The sequence below is a fragment of the Homo sapiens genome, chromosome 7 (genome assembly GCF_000001405.40).
Source record: "Homo sapiens chromosome 7, GRCh38.p14 Primary Assembly".
NCBI lineage: Eukaryota > Metazoa > Chordata > Mammalia > Primates > Hominidae > Homo > Homo sapiens.
In genome coordinates, this window is record NC_000007.14 from 31,776,599 (window position 1) to 31,798,114 (window position 21,516).

Below are 21,516 nucleotides of genomic sequence, written 5' to 3' on the forward strand. Positions count from 1 at the left end.
CGTATATACATACGCATATATTTACGTATAAATATATACACACAGACACATATATGGACACATATCTTATATATAAACATAAATATTTATTTATTCATTCATTCATTTATTTTGTCATCCAGAGTGGGAAGGAAGAGGCCTGGAAGCCAGATTCTAGCAACACGGCAGATGCCTGCAGTCTGAGCTGGCAGAAATGCAGAGAGAATTCCTCAGCAGAGGATATCCATGAGTCAGTGTTAGGTTACTTCCGTTAGGAGTCCCCACAAACTTCCCAAACTTTTAGTTAAGTCCACTTTATATGCAGAGGCCTGGTGTAAGTGGAAGCTGTGCTGATTGAGAAGACCCTATGTGTCAATATAGTCACTGATAAAGATAACAAAAGAATCAGTTTGTGGGGTGGGGGGAGGGGGGAGGGATAGCATTAGGAGATATACCTAATGTTAAATGACCAGTTAATGGGTGTAGCACACCAACATGGCACATGTATACATATGTAACAAACCTGCACGTTCTGCACATGTACCCTAAAACTTAAAGTATAATAAAAAAAAAAGAAAGAAACAATTAGTATTAAAAAAAGAAAAAGAATCTGAAGACTGGGCAGTGTCAGAGGAAGCAGAGACTTGGGGTTGGAGGTGAGTGGGAGAGCGGTAAGCTTTCCCTACCCCAGAATCCCTGGGGAAGAGTGGAGACATGCACTTTGGATGACGTTTGATATCGTTCCATTTTATTTTATTTATTTATTTTTGAGATGGAGTCTCGCTCTGTTGCCCAGGCTGGAGTGCAGTGATGCGATCTCGACTCACTGCAAGCTCCGTCTCCCGGGTTCAAGCAATTCCCCTGCCTCAGCCTCCTGAGTAGCTGAGACTACAGGCATCCACCACCATGCCTGGCTAATTTTTGTAGTTTTAGTAGAGACGGGGTTTCACTGTGTTGGCCAGGCTGGTCTCAAACTCCTAACCTCGTGATCCACACACTTCGGGCTCTCAAAGTGCTGGGATTACAGACATGAGCCACCGCACCCAGCCCCATTTTCATCTTAAACAACAGGGCACCAATCCTGACATTGTGTGACAAATGCCCTCCAGACAATAACAAATGTTATTGTTAATCATTATTATTCTTTCCTTCTTTTCTGGCAGCAGTAGTAGTAAAAATAGAAAACATAAAATTAATCCAAATAGCTCAGACCTACAAAAACTGTTAATTTGTATGAAGTGAAGGGAACTGTATCTGGCGGGACTTTATTTCTCCATTTTCCAGGTCTCACAGATGCCCTGAAGGTCAGAGTTGGTGGAGAACATAGAGGGTCCAACCCTGGCTGTAGCTGTGCTTCAGTTCTTGAACCTCAGTTGAGTAACTCAGTTACTCCTGAGGTGATGTTTATAAATATGACTTCCAAGCTCCTTGATTGGACCCTGAAGCAGAATCTCCAGGGAATGGAGCCAGCAATTTGAATTTTAACAATTTCACCAGGTGATTCCAACGATGATCTTGTAATCTGGCACTTCACTGGTCTAATGAAGTGTCTTGGACACTCCGGGGTGAAAGATTTACGCAAAGTGATACTCTGTGTCAAAGCCAGTGCTGCCACAATGCACAACCCCAGTGGATGCCCGTCGCATTGTATCTTACACAAAGAATGGTGGACCCTGGGTGTGCAACAAATAGGCCCCATTAGGAGGCACTACCAGAGGGCACATCTGTGTCTTTTATGTTGTGATCCAGAGCCGTTCCTTCTCTGCCCGAAATGCCTCTGTGTCCCACAAGATTTTTTACTTGTCTCATTTGACCTTTGGGATAGGGTTTCTCAGCAGTGACACTGTGACATTTGGGCTGTACAATTCTTTGTGGTGGGGGCTGTCCTGTGCACTGGAGAATGTTTAGCAGTGTCCCTGGCCTCTACCCATGAGATGTCAGTAGCTCCTCCCTAGTCATGACGATCATAAACATCCTCCAGATGGTGACAAATATCCTCTAGAGGCAAAAGTGCCCTCCATTGAGAATCTCTATTTTAGGTTGCAGACAGGGCTTCAAGTTTTTATTTAGAGATGTGGTTCCCAATTTGGCTGCTTGGTCATTGCTAATAGTCACTCCCACATATTAAGCAGTTACTGTGGCCCTGGTGCCATATTACGTAGGCACCGTGAAATATAGATTTGTTGTTGTTTCTGATTTTAACATTCTGACAACAAAATTATCCCATTTTACAGGATTTGAAGACAATTTTTGTCTCCAAACATTTTGTTTAAGGAACTTGACTAATGTTACTGAGTGTTGTGGGAGGAGGGAAAAACTTAAGTCAAGATCATTCAAAGTTCAAACTCAAAGAAATTTTTCCCCTGACTCTTGCTGCTTCTTAACCAACCCATTGTCTGGGTTTCCTTCAAGCACAGTCTCCCAAAGTTGTCTAAGAGGAAGAAAAACCTGGGACAATTATTTTAACAAAAATGAAAAACAAAGCCAGTTTCCCAGGCCTCACTAAGCTCTCGGAGCCAGCACTTCCAGAGGCGAGGTTTAGGGACCTGGGTATTTCACAGGTGGCCCAGGTGATTCCCATCATCAAACAGGCTTGGAACACCTTGTGTGGTAGAAATTTCCTTTTGTCGAACTAACGAAAAGTGTGGCATTCTGCTTTCTGTGGATACTCTTGTGAAGTTGAGAGAACAAATTTAATGTTGCCTACATGAGTACCTGAAAAACTGCAAAGTGCTCAATGACCACAAACTTCCAATGTTGCTACCTGTAGAAACGCTATTGCCAGGTTATTTCATAGAAATGCTTGGTGGAATTTTTTAAAAAATAACTGACTATAATCTTCCAAAAGCCTGCAGCTTGATAGCTTTTCGTAGAGGTAGCTTTTCATCCCCTTGGTGTCTTCTTTGCAAACACTGAGTAAGGGAACTCTGGGAACCTTGAGTCAGTGAAAAAGCAGAACTACAAGGCCTTCTGGAAATGCTGTTATTTTCTCTGTTAGCTTGGTGAGATGCCCAATATATCAGGACAGGGATGAAGCCATCCCACCTCTCATAACCATGAGCCATATACAGGTAGCAGGCGGGGATACATAAAATAAAACTGGTTTTGATTTTGCCACGGGCCATTGGCGGGGGGTTAGGTTCTGAGTCAGCCTCCCACTGGCTTCCAGTTCACTGAGGATGTGTTCTTGAAATCTCTTTCCATGAGGAAGCTACCAAATTACCTATCACTTTACTCAAAGTTCCACTCATGGGAGTAATACCCAACACATCTGAGTTTCATTTTCTAAAGCCCTTCGCACTTCACCCTTCCGTTGCTCCCTCTCATGTCCAGGAAGAACATCAGAAACCAGGTGGGAACAGCCAGTCCTGACCCAGCTTCTAAACTGTACTGTATGATGCACACAGAAGGCTTCAGACCACCCACCACATGGAACTGGTTCTTGGATTCATTGTAGAAATCTACTCTGTCAGTGGTTTTCAATCCTGGCTACATATTAGAATCATCAGGGGAGTTCTTAAACAATATGCTGACACCTGACCCTTCACCCCAAGATGCTGTTTAGTTGGTCTGGGTGGGACCTGGGCATGAGGACTTTTTAATGTTCCCAGGTGAGCCTGATCTGCAGCCATGAGAAACACTGCCTTCACTGAATACCCAGAGATGTTTCTTTCAGTTGTCGGGAGGGAAGCCTTACTTTCTTCTGAAACAACTGGTGTGCTCATCCTCACGGATGTGAATCTTGTAAATGGTTTATTTCCATTTAAACTTAAGATTCCAGAAAGCTTAGACCCAGTTTATGGCATAATGCTAGGAATCAGGGGAGGCCGATTTAGACTGCACGTCTGCTTATTAACATTTGCCCTGGTTTGTTCCATCTATGCTAGCTCTACTTTGTGACTCTGGTTTTATTCCATTTACTTAATCATTAAAAAAGCAATGTATTAAATTTGCATGATTTTAGAATTCTCAAATATCTGATAAATGAGGTAAAATAAAAGCAAATGAACAAACAACTATGTCAATGCTGCTATTGCTAAATTTCATTTTCCTCATCTATGAAATTGAGAAAACATCAATGTCAGGACAATAATTGCGAGCATCAAGTAAGAGTACACACATGACAGTGCTTAGCAAACTGTGTCATACAACACAGTTTTTATTATTTGTTTTAGAAAGGTGTGTGTATGTGCATGTGCGCATGCGTGTGTGTGCACGTGTGCATTTGTGTGTGTGTGTGTGTGTGTGTGTGTGTGTGTGTGTGTGTCTAAGTAGGTAATCTGTCATCTTTGGGAAATAAACACTTTAAGGTCAGGAATTACATTTCCCTTGACTCACAGCATGTGGCCATTTAAGGAGTAAACAACCCAATCCGTCAGCTAGGGGCAGAGATGTCACCACTGCAGCTTATGTGACTTGAGGTATCCTTTGACAAATGAATAGCTTTCAGATATTTCAAATTAATGTCCTTGTTTGGTTCAACTAGAGGGCAATGAATCCAATTCATCAAGAGTGTGGAGAAGAGGACAGTGATAGAAGTGACAACTAAGGCTACCCGCCTCAGGGTGAACGCACACCTAAGACTCGGGACTTCACAAAGTTAGTGCTAAAGCACAGTGATTTGCAGCTTAACCTCAAACAAATAATTTCCCTTCTGCAAAATGGGGTTAGCCTGGCCAAGCCTATGCCTGCTGGAGAAAGGGTGATTTAAGAGCTCTTGAGACCAAACATCATCATTATTAATGGTCTGGCAATAGCAATGTTATTATAGTACAACCAGATCCCACAGGGCAGAGGAGGATGCTGAAAAGCTGAGGTATGAAAGTTTCTGTCAACTTATTGGCCATTTTCAATTTCTCTGTTTTAGCATATTGTAAATGACTGCCTTTCTGATACCCACAGACCTCTGATCATTATTGCTGAGCATATCTGCCAACATCTTCTTTGTGTTCCATTTGGGCTGGGGCACAGGGCAACAAGCCATTGCCTGAAGCCTCAGAACAAATCATCGTTTTTGCCCCTTTACAGCTTTGAAGAGAGAGCATCAGTAAAAGTCCAAGTTCTGCTTCAGGCTGTGGGAACACTGAAAGAGTCTGGAGGTCTTCAACGCCCCACCCCCCACCCCCCACACACTGCCCTAAGAGTTATCAACCAAGAGTATATAAATTAGAGCTGCATATTCAGAGTATTTAATGCTTTTTTCCTGCACAATACAACCACCATCAATACTAGGTTTAGTTTCGTGTGATTTGAATATGTCTGTTCATCACAAAGAAGAATGATTAAAAGCAAGAGCTATTCAGAGATACAACACCACAAGCTATTTAAATGTGGCTTTCAAAATATTTGAATGTGCTTTGAACTTGAATTGGACATATGAATGAGGAGTTAAAAAAAGTGTTAACAACCTGTGACCCAGTAATTGTATATCTGGAAATTTGTCCAGTGGAGATATTCAGAAATGTGACAAAGCGTTATGTACAAAGAGCTCCATTGCTGCTATTTACAACTGCAAAAAATAAAATAAAAGCGTATAAGTTAATTGCCCAACAGCAGAGAGGTGGTTAAGTAAATTGCGCTAGAGCCACAGAATAAAATATTATGCTGCTATTGAAATTATATTAATGGAGAAGTTAAAAAAACACTCACAAGAAAATGCTTACAATCCAATGTTGTGTGAACAAACCATAATTCAAAATTAACTATACTATATGGCCTTAACTGTGTAAAAATGCATAGCGAAAGATCATAAGAAAATAAAGTATCTACAATGATTAATTGTTGGATGGGGTATTACAAGTGATTTTAAGTTTCCTATTATACTGTCGATACTTTCCAAATTGAGTAAATTCTATTTTTACTTTAAGAAAAAAATTAAAAATATGTTTCAGTGAATGGCAAGCATGGCTGCTTTGGAGAAACATCACAGTCGCCTTCATCAGAGCAATAATACCATGCGAAACGATACACCAGGAGGCCCTGATGAAGGGGTGGTATTTGTGTAATATTCAGTATCACCACTAGAGGGTTCTCTCTCTGAGGCCGGTTTGAAGGCATCAGGCTGGATGCCATAAAGGATGTAAACCACTTTTATCCCCACAAAGGGGAGTAATGAATGACTACACAGAGTCCCTGACTCATGATGGCCCAACTTAAATTTTTGGACTTCATGATGATGCACAAGCAATACACACTCAGAAGAAACCGTATATAACCTTTCTGTTTTTCACTTTCAGAACAGTATTCAATAAATTACATGAGCTATTCAACACTTTATTATAAAATAGGCTTTGTGTTAGGCGATTTTGCCCAACTCTGGGATAATGTGTTCTGAGCATGCTTAAGGCAGGATAGCCTAAGCTATGATTCAAACACAGCTGGTAGGTTAGGCATATTAAATGCATTTTCGACTTACAGTTTTTTCAACCTACAATGAGTTTATTGGGACGTGACCCCATGGTAAGTCAAGGAACATCTGCATTCCCTAGTCAGACTCCTTATGTTCATGGCTTGAGCAGGAAAATATTGCCAAATATACCCCTTTCAAGAGTAGGAGAAAGAAAAAGTTTGCAATTCAGAAAGCTAGCATCACAGGGCTGTAAAACCATATCATTGTACCCTGAAGAAAATTAAACATATGGAATCCAGCTTAATTCCATGAATGCTGAGATTTCTTATGCCTCTGATAAGCTTCTGATAACCCATTTACTTCATCCCTCACAGTCAAAAAAGGTGAAATGAAACGTGATATAGTCATACTCTGTGTATGTCTTTCAGCATGCAGGCAAAGGCACTTGGTGCCTGGGTATTATGAGACGTTTAAGGGAATACAAAAGAGACAGATGGTTGACTGAGTTTGGACAGCTCTATATCTGAGACAGAACATGGACAACAATGGGAAACATTCAAAGAAAGAAAAAAAAGTCTTTTCATTTTTCCAATTCCAATTAAGAGGTTAACTCATTGTTTTTATTTGGTAATCAGAAGAACATACAAGTACTTATGCATTACTAGATGCTGGGGGAAAATTATACATTGAAGGACTGTCAGGCTCATCTGTGCAATAAAGATTTACAATAAACACATCATTAATTTTTCTGAGAACAGCTCAGTATACTCTGTTTTACATGAATCCTTATGATTTAATCTTGTATTTGGAGATATGATGCTATGGCATTTGGATAACATTGGTTAAGCAGCATCTTAGAGAACAGAACACTCTTCCTCAGAATGGATGGCCATTCTTTTACCCTGTGATGTACAAATGCAAATTACAACCTGCATTTTATCTGCCAGAAGTGTATTTCACATCATGGAAGTACATTCTATCACAACCATGAAATCAAAACAAGTCCATTATTACCATCTTCCCTTTTGGAAGAGCATTCTCAGAATACATCCAGAAATACCTTCCTTATTCCTCCAAAGAATTGTTTATTCAGCTAGTCATTGGTTGAGGTTTGGGTTTTGGTTCTGCTTGCCTCTCTCTTTTGAGTCTTGCTAAATGTTCTTGATAGTAATCCAGATATTTCTCACAAATCCAGCTGAACAGCAGCAACATCTAAAGCTGAGGAGATGAGTTGAGTTTTCCATTCATATATGGCCAGTGCCCTCATCAGGAAAGAGCCTACAGACTCAAGGTGAGTAGGGTGTCTTTAGGATGCTATGTATTTAATGCATAGGGTGCTACGCATCCTAAAGAGAAAAACCCTGTGAGAGCAAAAACTGTGCTGTACACTAAGGGAGGACAATAACAACATCATATTCACCTCTAGGTGACTCACCTTGCTTTGGGTAATTGATTTCCCATAAAGATTTCCTTTTTTCCTGCTTCCTTTTCCCAAGCTATTTCTGCCTCCCCATCTATCCCCAGCGACCTTTGACACCCAAAACTTTCCCATACGAATTGCATGGAACAAGGTGCTTTTATTTTTCCCATTATTTTGTGTTTGTACGTGCTAAAATGATACTGCAAGCAGAATGGGTTACCTGGACAGAAGCAAAAGAAGGAATTTGTGAAGGGTAGAAAAATGGGAGGAAAAAAAAAGGAAAACATAAAGGAGAGTTTGAAAAAGGGAAGACATTTAAATTAGATGAGGGGAATCTGGTTGTACAGTGGGCACAAGAGCTGATAAAAACCTAACCAAGCTCTACAAATGAAAATAGCAAATATATTTTTGAAAATTTTATAGCATATAAAATTGTATAAAAATATCATCAAAGCAAGAAAAAAGGAAATGTATACTCTATAGTTCTACCTCTAGAATCAGTTATTGGACAATACCTATGGCTGTAGGTTTTTCCTATCCATCTATATATATTAATATAATATGTGACTGTATTTCTGTACCATCACACATATACCCACTCAAAGACAAGGACAGTAGTACACAAATTCTACTCCAAGATAGGTCATGAGAGGGAAGCAAAGACTATACAATGATGTGTCTCCAGGACAATCTATTTAAAACCCATTCTATAGCCATGGGGTTTTAATGGGCTTTATTTTAAATGAATTACCCTGCACCATAAACTGACTGAGAAATGATCCTGCAGGTTCAGAAGCCAGCACTCATGAAGAATACGTGGCTGAAGCTGACCAAAGCTGAGAGGATGAGTCTCCAGTTGGCACTGCCTCTGGCCTGCAACAGCCAGCATTCACCCCACAAAGGGGGACAAGGTCTCCTCAGGGGAGACTGAATGAGTGTGCCCTGAGCGAACTTAAAGGGCCCACACCCCACTCCCTGCTTCTCCTGGCTGAGCAGATGGCAGCCCAGGCTGGGTGCAAGTACAGTTAGTGAAGCCAGCCATTGCCAGGGTTAATCCACTTCTGCTTGGGAACAGAAGCCAGAATAAACATGAATTCATGTCAAATATGTCTGGCAATATTTTCCAAAAAATGACTAGGGTGGGTATTTAAGAAAACAATCAGGAATTAATATGTTTAAACTTGACCATCATACATCTTTCAGTCCAGGTCATCCACTGCACAATCGTTCCTTGTTTAATATAAAAACAAGAAGCTATTTCAGTGGCACAATTCTTGCTTAATTCAGACATTCCTGGAGAAGCAGCCAGCCTTTTTACAAATGTCCAAGGAGGATCTTTAGAGGCCTGCTTCCCATTTTTCTAATCTCCCTGGGAACATGTTCATGATCAGATAAACTGTCTAATGCAAATGACTCTGGTAACATTCTAACTCTAGTGTCACCTCTGTGCCCACTAGTGTCTTTGGTGAGAGAGAGGAAACCTTAAAAAGTAAAATCTGGCCTTGGCAGGTAATATGTCTCTTGATACCCAGAGGGAGGTTTTATAGGAATATTGTCATTGCTCATTATAATTTTTTTCATTAAGTTCATTTTCTTAGTGATAATGAGGCCTTTAATCATGGATCACAGTTGATAAATTATTACTTTCCATTTGTTCATGCATAAGATCCAATATAACATCATTATTGCAACATTATGTTCTTTAACATCTAACTTTGCCATGGTTTGGTGCTGTACCAATCATATTATTGGTGGAGCAGAACTATGCAGTGATTCCTCATGCTGCACATAGAGAATCTATTTGCTGTAGGAGAGTCTGTTTAAGGTTTTAAAAGTTTCCACTCGGATTCTCAGTAAATCCACTGACGTTTTATATAGATTGGTGTCATCTTCCCTTTTGGAAAGACATTCTCAGATAAATCCTGTTTTAGTGCTTTTTTTTTTTTGTATTGTTCTGTTTTTTTCTTAAATCAAGAGGCCATAGAGAAGTTTTTATTTTATTTTTTCCATAAATTTGGCTATGACAATTTCTCCCAAATTACCTGCAATTTCCTATCTCTGGTAATAAGCTATTTGTGTGAGTAGGGTATGCCTGCATATACTTAGAAGATAAGCCTTTAGCAGTGTGCTTGGCATATAGAAGTTGAATAAATTTTCAGGGAAATTTGAATTTTGTTTGCATTCACAAGTGGATAGTGGAATTCAGTTAGACGATTTTGAATGTGTTTCCTGAATGCTGACCGTGTTCCAAACACTGTGGTGGGCCAGCACTGCGTCTCCTGTGGGGTGTGTGGGCATCTCAGGATCAGAACAAAGTTTCCAATTAGGAAAAAAATTGTTGCCTGAATTCCCTAAATTCTCTTTATTTGGGATAGAACACCACATACACAGATTTCCAATCTTAGAATCTTCTCTATTTCACTATGAGAAAAAGATTTCATGCTTTTTTTCTATTGTTTTTCCTAGGCTCCATGGGGAATGTTACAAAGTAATTTCCATCATCAAAGTCTCTGCTCATAGGTTAAGAAAGAAGAAAATATATTATATTATCTATCTATCTATCTATCTATCTATCTATCTATCTATCTATCTATCTATCTATCTATCTATCATCTATCTATCTATCTATCTACCTACCTACCTATCTAAGGAAAAGTGACCCATGAGAGAAGTGATATTAAAATAAACAGTATCCATACTTCCAAAATATGGATAACAAAAATTGGTCTTCAACTTTTGGATTACCGTCTCACATCCCATGATAATGTTGCTTTTTACTTTACACTTTTGTATCTAAAGGCATGGTTCCAAGTGGAAAATATAATACAATGGCTTAAATTCTACAAATGAATGAACACGTGCACTAGGTTATTCTTTGGCTTTCAGATGTTTAGATATCATTTTACTGTTTAAGTGTATCAGATCCACAATGGGATCCTGTCAAATGTTTTCGGTAGTTTATAACAGCTCCAAAAATGAAATGGACAGTGGAAGAAAGTCCATTTGAATTTAATGGGTTAGAAATGAGTCTCTTGTCTGCTGCCATAAACTATTAGGGCTCATAACCTAAGAAAGATTGGCACAAATAAAATATGGAACAAAGGCCTCGATAAGAATGGGTCATTATGCCACTGAAACGTACCACATTAACACAACTTAAATATAGAGCTATTTGGTGACATGGGGACCCAAATTCAAGGGCTAACTTGTCACATTTTATCCAGGGACGTGTAGAGCGCATGGTTTCGTCTGTGGTAGGACTATCCCTATTGCTGTCCCCACATGCTAGTTAATTCTTAATTCAGGTGTGTAAGCCCTTGCTCTGTGTGTGTAAACCAGAGTAAGATGCCATAATCTGTGCAATAGAATAATGTTTGTCCCAAATTGCTGCTCAACTTGAAGAAAGCTATTTCAAGGGAATTAAAAGACCGCAGAAAATAAGCTAGAGCTTTGGAAATATTGCTTTTGCAGTCAGCACTGATTTGGAATAATTACTTTAATGTTTTATCAGCTCCAGTATCAATTCATAGCATCATATAATATAGCATTTTGTATTTTTAATAGATAACTGCATTTTTACTCAATATCCCTTCGAAACACTTTTTAAAGATTTAAAGCTAAGAGTGAGTTACATGGAGTTTTGTTTTGCTTCACTGAGAGTTTTAGGTGAAGTTCTTTATGGAATGAAATTCTCTTTCTATTCTTTTTCAGCTGATTAATGACTTAAAGCAAATGAAAAACATTTCCATTTTTATTGGTGCTAGAAAAAATGGCTATATTCCTGTTTCTTTTTCAAATGTTGTTTCTTGTTGCTTGTTAGATTATAAAATGGAAGCTGTAGACTTTCTATTTTGACTGGCCAAAAAGCCCCACATACAAAAATACAGAATATAAATGAGGTAAAAGGTCCAGGTTCCAAGGTCAAAAATTGACATACTCTTGGTTATATTTAATTTCAATACAAAATCATACCACCTCTAAGAACATAGCTTGCAAACCAATGCCCCATGGATTGAATGCAGCTCACAGGCATGTTTCATTTGATTAGCACAGTGTTTGTAAGTTTTTGAGTTAGTTGTCAATATGTAAAAATTTGGAGAGAGCTTATATCAAATCCTAGGTATCTAGGACCCCCATCCCCACACAGCTCAAATTCAGTTGCTGCCTACCAACTACCCTGTTTTGACAGCACCCACCCTCTCCAATTTCTCACAGTCCCCATTGCTCCTTCCTGTCTTGCTGATACAAAGGCCCACTATGAATTGCCATTTACCACAATGACTGTGATATTACATGGCTTGCTTTATTCATTTACTTGACCTGCTAGGCCCCTGAAGTCATTTGAATTTCTGGCCACATTATGTGGTGAGGTCATTGTTATGAACACAGGGAGCACAACAGAAAAATCTAAGTGTTTCTCCAAGGCAAAATGTAAAGCTGACAGAAGAAATCTGTTCAAATATCAGCATGCTGTTGTGCATTCGATACTACAAAGTTCTTCAGATCTTTCTGTTGGGGAACATTTTGGCAAGGCAAAGGTCCAGGAAGACCACATACAGTCTCTTTCTTTCTGCCTGAAAAAATGCCAATATTTCACCTTAGTAATAAAAGGACGTTTAAATATCTGTTCTCGTGCTTTTTCATGTAGAAATTAAATCTGTAGTGGGGAATACACTTAAACCTATTGCCTAGCTCTCTTTCTATTACTAATCCCCACTTCATCATCAGCATATTCATGTGCTTCACTCTTGGGAAGGACTCAGAGATTCCTGTGTGACCAATAACCACATTTTAAGAATCACTTTTATCTAAATCACATCATTTAGACTCATAAAATCCCACTTTACTTGCACTCCCTTAGATCCCACCTGTAATTTGGTCTCAAGGGGGCTGCAATGTTATTCTCTTTCCATGCTACATCTACTATTCTTATTTTTTATTCGTGCTATTAATCCACTTCTATCTTGTATTTTTAAAAACTCACTAAAATGCAAAGAATTATCTGCCATATCTCCCTGATACTAATTCCCTTAGCACTTTACTGAATAAAAAGAAGAGTGATGAAATAAAACCACAGATATCCAAAAGAAGATGTCCAGCCAGTGGTAAAAATTTCAGTAACCACTTAGTTATCAATGCTACCAGTGGAAACAATGGGTTCCCACTCAACAGTACAGTCACCAGCTGAACATTCAGGTTTATACTAATGAATGCACAGAGAAAATAAATTAGCCATCAAATAAAGATTCCTATAGAATAATCTTTTTTAGAAAACAAACAGAATTCTGTATTACAGAAGTGGGAAAAAAAGCATAAGAACAATTTTAAGTCTGAAAGGAAATTGGAGAAAACAAATGTTCCTGACTCAGGAAAGGAACCAGAGACTGGAATCATCATCTTTGCGGTGATGAATGTCAGCATGGCTGTATCATCAGTAGCCAGTGCAAAAATGACAACATTTAAAGTAACGGCATTGACAGTCATAAAATGGCAATTACTGTGTGTGTGGCTTTTTTCAGGCCTCTCCCAGCATATCCAGGATGTCCATTCTCATCAGGCCAGACAGATGCCTTGAAAGCCAGGTCATTAGCAAAGGATTTTGAGGATGCCCCTTCATGTTTTGTTTCTGTTTGAGTAAAAATCTCACGTTGTTTGTTTTGCTCAGGGGAATATCCCCCAGAGTTCTAAGACCTCAAACCAACCCCCAAAGATTCATCCCCTGGAAGGAGATGGTGTGAGGGAAGGCCAAGGGTCAGGGGGTGGGGGGCTTGTGTTTGAAAGTTGTACACCTTCTCCAGATATGGGTCTTTGTGGAAGAAGGAGAAGAAGGAGAATGAAGAAGCTCAGCTAGAATGATGCAAGACACTGGCAGCCTCTTTTATTGTCTATGAGGTCTTTTTTACTCTTGTGAATCTGAAAAAAAGAAAAAGAAAAAGAAAAGTGTCAATGCTGCCTTTCCCCCCGCCCACCTCCACCCTCCAAGTCTGAGGAGAAGGAAATCTAGGGGACCAAAAAAAATGGGATAACCAATTAAACATTTCCATACTGGTCATTGCTGTCTCCCTTGTAACAAGATTTGTTCTATTCATAAGGGGAAAATGTCAGTGCAAAACTGTAATATCAGTACATTTGAAATCTTAATAGTTGCTGTAAACTAGATTAGCAAACATTTGGTCATGCAGTAGGGATATTAAGCCACCTTCTTTTGCAATGGAGATGACGGTTTTGTTGCCAGATCTGGTCAATCTGTCTCAAGGGTCAGTGGGATTGGAAGAAATCAGATTCATCTAATCCCAACTGTTTTCATATCAAAAGCAATACTCCTCCCTCTCAGAATTCTTGCCCCACCCTCAGAAGTTTCCCAGAGACATTTAAAGCAAGATGTATCCTAGCCCAAATCATTTTGCAGATGGGTGAATCACCTGAGTTCTCCACTGGACCCAGAGCAAGGGGGTGGAGGAAGACGACAAAGATGGAAAAAGGACTAGGTTAATGACAATAGACAATATTGTATTTCTTTTCAACTGGCATGCTCTACCCCATGTAACCTCAAAGGTCTTAGGCAGAATTTAAAACAACAACCACAACAAACCCACCATATTATTTCTTCCAATTGGTGTTGCATGCTCTGCAAGTCATCATGCCTTATAGTTAGAAAGTGTTCCCTTCTATGCAGGGCTCCAGTTGGCTTGGACTTTAAGAAGGGTAACACTATTATCTACAGAGATGTTAGAAGCCTTTACAGGACAAGGAAAGTTTCCCATTCAACTTTAAAGACTAAGATACTCTCCTAAGATTTAGGTGAATTTAGCAGAAAACTCATTGGGAGATAGGAGAACTCCTTCTGATCTATTGTAATTACAGTCAATTCTCAATTTTCCAGGGGCCATTGATCCAAGCTTCCTGCTGTTCCTCTAACTTTATTATGTTCTTGATTGTTCATTATGTTTACCCTCCATTAACACCTTCACCCATTTGAGAGAAATAACAGACAAAAGTGAGGCTTCATACCAATCACTTTACTCCAATACTAGCACTGATAAACTTGCCAGTGAGAGAAGGAGGTGAAACAAAAGCTGAAATCAAGGATGAGAAATTTTCCATTGATGTTGATAGTCTATGCACAGTTTGGTCCACATGGAATTGCAATACATGACTTTGTCCTTAGTACTCTGACCCTGCCATTATCAACTTGGGATCATACGTCATGAGGCTTCTTTTAGAGAGTCATCATAATACTAACCACCTTCAGAGATGTCCCCAGACCCTCAAATGTAAAGCCCAATTTTGTTAGGATGACAGAAGGTTGGGTTTGATTTTTTAATAACAGACCCATTGGTTGGAAGGAAGCTAGAGACAGATAGCTGGGGACAGCTGATAAAGACCACTATTTAACTCAGTGAGCCTCACCTGGCCAACAAGGAGAATGATGCACCTCCTGCAGACTGGGTTAGCAGAGACCCACGGTCCAGACTGCTGGGTCCCAGAGATGGAAAGAGGCCTATCTAGGGTCTTAATGAAATCCAAAGGCTGCTAAAACGAGATATTCCTCCATTTCTAATCACTGCTTATGGGTGAGATGGTGGAGTGTTCCCTCTGGCTGTGGATCTCCATCCTCCCCTCCAGCTTTGTGTCAAGGGGTGAAGGGAAAGGGTGAATAAAAGAAGTTTGTGTGTTTAAGCTGTGCCTGTGTTCATTGTCATTAAATACCACCAGCAGTAAAAGAACAAGAAGCATATGTTCTATAGCTGGGTCTGTGACGTGATGACCTGAGTCATCATCCCTGGCCTTCCCAAACACATGCCCTCTAAAAGTAACTTCTGTTTGTGAATTTCTTAAGTCACTTAAGAAATACCCTAAGGTCCCTATATCATAGCTACCTGCAAAATAATGTTCCAACCCAGACTGCTGACTCTTTGAGAACAGGGAAAACACCTCATTTATCGTTTATAACACTTCTTGCATGTAGTGCAATGCCTGACACATAGCATATGCTCAACAATATTTTTAATGAAAAAGAAGAGAATTGAATAAGCATGAGGAGGATGGGACTGATAAGGTGTGGTGATGAATAGGAGGTTTCCCTCCACCCTTTTTCTAATTTTGACTTTCACAGCATGAAACAAAAATTTAAAAGAAAATAATAAACACACCAATTATATATTTTATTCAATAGTAAGGTATGATATGTCAAAATATTTACATTCCCTATGAAGAAACCCAATTATGGATGGCTTTCTATGGAGCTAATCTCACAGAGAAGGAGCACCTGCTATCCAGGCAGCTTTGGCATGGTTTGCAAATCAGGCCTGGTCCTCTTTTCACTCCACATCCTATCTTTCATTGTGTTCTGGTTTTATGTATTTGTTTTCAATATAAACTGAAATTCAGTAAGCATCAGCAAGACTACAAAGTATATGAAAATGAGGACCCTGAAGACAAAGTGTTAATAGGCCACTCTGTGTGTAACTGAGATGCATGACTTTTTGAAGGCCACAAAAAGTAGTTAAATCCTTCCACTTTTTAAAGAGTGACTGATGAATTGAAATGGAAACTTTCTTGCCACATCTTGGAATAATTCAGGAAACTATTTAAGTGCCTGCCCCTTGACCCAAGACTTTTTATACCTCACAAGGTAAAGCTGTGAGAACTTTAAATCCTGAAGTGCAAATACATGGTATATGAATTCACAGAAATGTATTTACTCTATAGGAGCATACAATCATGTTTCAGCAACTTCATTTAGAAAAATGGGAGACGGACTTAAAACAATGTGGCCTTATTTATGGTACCATGCTGCTCCCAAAGGTAAGTGCAGATGCTGTATATAGGTCTTAAAACCATGTGATTTAAAGATAATTGGTTTTAGAAGAAGATTGAAGTTCAATTTAACATGACTTGATTCTAAAGATGTGTTTATCCATTATAATGTTTATTCCTGGATCACAAATGGAGTGTCAATGAGGCAGCCCTCATAAGAATTTGCCACTGGGCTTAAAAAATATTTTAAATGCATTTCTCTTCCATTTTTCTTGGATTTGATGTTTTTACAGCCTGATTCAACTATCACCTAAACTCAAAGAAGTAAGTTGACTTGGCTGAAGAGAGAGATGGGGTTCAAAACCAGATTTTCAGGTCCTAGGAACTCTGTACCATAGCTGCCTCCCTATGGAGTCAACTTTCTGCAAAAACAGCAAAGTGATACAGCACACACCTGACAAGTTATAAAACTCTAAATAGAAAAAAACGAATGAAGAATAAGTGTAGAGAAACCAAAACCAATTTGAAATGTCATGTAAGACTTCTATTGGGCATATGAATGGGTCCTCGTTTTTTTTTTTTTTAAATAAGAAGAAAACATTAAGAAAAAACAATTTTAAAGTATCTGTTAGGCTTTATCCAGGTATGGACTTAATTGTCCTAGGTCACAAGTACATGACAGCTATTTTAAAGCGTTATTTTCAACATGTGCATGCTTTCTCCTTGCCCTAAATAATAGAGCATATTATTATAATAGGATTATATTTTCACTACAAATAATATCCATGCTACAGCACTGCTAAGACAAAATCCTCTCATCATGTATTATTCCAGCACAGAAAAATAAAACAGAAGGACAGATAGACAGACACATAGATAAACCAGATAGATAGATAGATAGATAGATAGATAGATAGATAGATAGATAGATAGATAGACAGACAGACAGACAGACAGACAGACAGACAGACAGACAGACAGACAGATAGATAGACAGATAGATGGGCAGGCGGGCAGGCAGGCAGGCAGACAGACAGACAGACAGACAGAAGACATTTGTGGGAATGTAACTTCTTAAAACCTTGCCTATGCCATTAACTCCTAAAATTTACCCATTTGATCCAAACACACAGAATAAGAACAGTACAAAGAACAGTTAGTTTAGTGCAAAAGTAATTGCGGTCTTTACCATTACTTTCAATGGCAAAAACCCCATTTACTTTTGCAGCAATCTAATAGTTCTTAGGTCCAACCCTTTCCCTCTTTGTCTTTCCTTTTGCTCCACTGCATCTGTGCTACCACTGAAAATAACAATGATGTTAAACTCTTCCTCTCTACCCTTGTTGCTTTCTCTCTTTCATTTAGCATGTTCTTTCTTTCCAAACATAAAATATGTGAACAACTGTCTCTGTTCTTCTGTCTCACACTGCCCAAGGTGTCTTACTGCTATCATGCTCTGTTTTAAGAATGTAGCACATTAACACAAAGACAATGATTAAAACACTGAACTCTCTAAATGCCCCCAATGCCTGGCCCACTTTTAGCAGACAAGTAAAAGTCAGGCATCAGTAACTCCTACAACTCCTCTGATGATAAGTCAACATCCCTGATTCACAGAGGTGCAGGTGAGGGTAGAGTTAAGCACCCTTGTCTGCACAAAAGAGTTTAGTTTCTGATCAGTCTTTGAATCTGTGAAGTCAGGAAGAAGCCCAGGACCGTAAAGAAAGTCCTTCAGATCAGTAAGTGAGGCTTGGATTTTAGACATGAAACATTCTGACTACTCTTCATGTTTTTCTCAATTTTATTATTTCAGGAAAAGCAGAAAAGATTCTAAATGATGAGAAAACCAAACAAACAATCATTTTCTCATGTTTTCACTATGGCTCCAGGGCATAGAATAAAAATAGCATATATTGCAGCGGACTAATACTTAAGAAATGTAGACATGGTCACTTGGAGAGCAGGATGCCCATCAGTGGAGAATGCTAAGAAAAAATGCAAAGAGGGGAAGCTTGAATACTTGCTGAATACTGCATTTAATAGCTTTTTTAGCATGTGAGCGTCTAGAAAAGAAATGGCATTACCAATGTAGATAGTGTTAAGTTCTGCCTTTGGCACATATTTACTTCAAAGGTTCCCTTTATTTTAAATATTTAAATATAATGTTAATAGAGTTTCTTTTGGCAAATATATTGTTACTTGTGTTTCTCCAATCCCTTGCATAGAATCTGACAAAATATCATTTTTTTCCAGGAGAAAATATTTATTTCATGATTACTAAGAAGCTTTATTTTAAACATCTTGAACATCAGTATTAAGGAAAAAAGAAAAATCACACCTTGCCCCGTAGTTACAAAATTTTAATTCCCTCTGTCAAACCAGATTCCTTTAAAAATACAGTGGTACATTAGTAGTTCCACAAAGTATCTAGAAGACAGAGTGAAACAATGAAAGCTTATGTAGCAATAATTGCAAAAGAAAAGTTGTTCAGAAAGTCTAATTTTATCATTAACAAAGAGTTCATAATATACTTTTATTTGACATTTCTACTATGGAGTTACTTGGTAAGAGACTGGGATCTAAACACCTACATAAAAAACATGAATTGATGTTAGAAGTTTCCCTTAGTATAACACAATTTATTTAAACCCATCAATCTCATATAATATATAATATAATCCACATATTATGGATTGGTTAATAGATATTCCCCAAATTCATAAAATAAAACCAATTATGTTGGGTTAAAACATCACTGAATTAATAATAACTCTCATGGTTGGGTCAACCTACAGCACAGCTTCCAAAATTAAGTACAAAATGACAATGAAGTATCTAAATCAAAATGTTTAATCGAAAAAACCTTTTAGAGTTTAATTAGTGAAGTTTTAACCAGATGCATGAGAATAACAGACACCTAAAAATAATATTACAATTCTCTCCTCCACTTATTGACTTTTTGTTTTCCTTGGACAGGGACATATATATATCTATATACACACACATATATATATATGTATATGTATATATGATTTAAGATGTATGTAATATAGTTTATCATAGAGGGTATATATTATGTATATATGATATATATTAATATATCTTACATGTTATATGTCATATATGCATCATATATCAGATATATCATATTGTATCATATATCATATGTATGATTTATGTATGTGTGTACATATATATGTGTATGTGTACATAAGTGTGTGTGTAATTTCAGTTGCTATTTTCATACTACAAACATGAATTTCCAGACACAAAAATCTGCAAGAAGACAATGGTAGTCACCTGCCATCTTGTTCCTTTATAATTCCTTTATATTCATTATATACCATCCTTGAAAAGCACAAGGACATTCACTGAACCTAAAAGTATATAAAAAATGCATTGATTTGAAATGGACGTTTATTACCAAAAGCGCTAACTGTTCTGATTCACTATGACTCAGATGAAATGCTAGAACCATGAATAAGTAACAGGTTTTGTACGTCCATGCTCCCAAGACTAAAAGTCCATAGCAAAAAAGGAACAAGGTGCTTTTTCAGGTTAACACCGTTTGGCCACTTCCCACTCACATATTATGGATTGGTTAATAGATTTTCCCCAAATCTATAAAAAAAACCAATTACGTTGGGTTTAAGCATCACTGAATTCACAGTAGCTCTTATTGTTGGGTCACCCTACAGCACAGCTTCCAAATTTAATTACAAAATGACAGTGAAGTATCTAAATCAAAATGTTTAATCAAAAAAACCTTTTAGGGTTTAATTAGTGAAGTTTTACCCAGATTCATGAGAAAAACAGACACCTAAAAATAATATTACAACTCTCTCCTCCATTTATTGACTTTTTGTTGTTTTCCTTGGGCAGGGACATTGGAGTGGAGAGTTTAGATACTTGTCAAACTACTTGAGAAAATAAGGTTGTAACTGCTTTAGAAAACACCTGCTAAACCATGGCATTTCCTTACTATTAATGTTCCACATGACATAAATATGTTAAGGAAATGGGTCACAGGAGTTTTCATGGACAAATGGCTAAGGGAAATGGGATATTAGTCAGAATTTGTGTTCTTATGACGACTTAATTGGAACCCAAAGCACTCCAGATATTTGGTCCCTCTTTGCTCATGAAAAATAACCTACGCAGATGCTGGATTCTCATGCTGAAAGCAATTCCTTCATTAAAGAAATGTCTACTTTTTGTCACTACATAGAAGGCTGCAGTGGGATACCTTCCTAGACCTAAGAAATATTATCCTTTGAGACAGAAACAAGTTTAAAACCTAAAGGATGGGATTAACTATATGTATAAACTGCCTCAAAATAGCAGATTTTGACTTCAGTGGCATGACCACTAGTGAAGTATATTACAAATGATTCATTACTAAAAACAGTTAAGCACTGAAGTTATAAAGGGTTAATTTTTAAGGTAAGTAGAAGAGATTCAAAGTTATTGCTATGGCAACACTATCTTGGGTGTGAGAGAAAAGGATGGGGTAACAGCTTGTCTTCCCAATTCACATTCCTTGGCCTATTTTACACATCACATGATCTGGGCACACCTTCAGAGGGGTGTAGAGCTAGTGAAAATCTGGTAGTCTAAAGTGGACAAAAAATAATGAGGAAAAAAAATCGAGAACATCTACCTTAAAAACAACGCAGTATCGTCAAGATTAAGGCCCAGAAAAGCAATCAAGGATGACTGAAAGTGAACAAGAATAATAATCTACTCCAAGATATTAACACATCTCATGGCTGAATTAATGTGTGGCTAAAAAACAGGCAAGAAAAGGGGTGCCATAGAGGGGTGCCTCTTGCACTGTCAGGATATAGCACATGCAAGATGACCCATATCCACTCTTCTTGGCAGCTCCGTCCCAATGATAGAAACAGATTTCAAGATATTCTACCTTAAGATCACAATTCATCAACTAAGTCCCCTTACATGTTCAGTTCACCAAGCAACCTTCTGATACAATTTGACTTTCCAAGTA

At 38.2% G+C, this 21,516-nt stretch overlaps 1 protein-coding gene across 26 annotated transcripts in view, besides 1 other annotated feature; it reads right to left on the reverse strand.

Moving 5' to 3' along the window:
• The window catches only part of PDE1C (phosphodiesterase 1C), an 811,448-nt gene that overhangs the window by 159,822 nt on the left and 630,110 nt on the right, over positions 1 to 21,516 (reverse strand). For 9 of the 26 annotated variants that reach the window (NM_001322059.2, NM_001322058.2, XM_017012266.2 and 6 more), the window contains 1 exon segment: positions 6,912 to 13,661. The exons of the other annotated variants lie outside the window; for them this stretch is intronic. In NM_001322059.2, the coding sequence (NP_001308988.1) occupies positions 13,648 to 13,661 (14 nt within the window). In that variant the 3' untranslated portion in view covers positions 6,912 to 13,647. 26 annotated transcript variants of the gene reach the window in all.
• Positions 6,024 to 6,073: a silencer, noted in NCBI's record as "silent region_18077". NCBI's record gives its function as "represses an Ori minimal core promoter by ATAC-STARR-seq in GM12878 lymphoblastoid cells {active_cell/tissue: GM12878}" and the evidence as "EXISTENCE:reporter gene assay evidence [ECO:0000049][PMID:35858748]".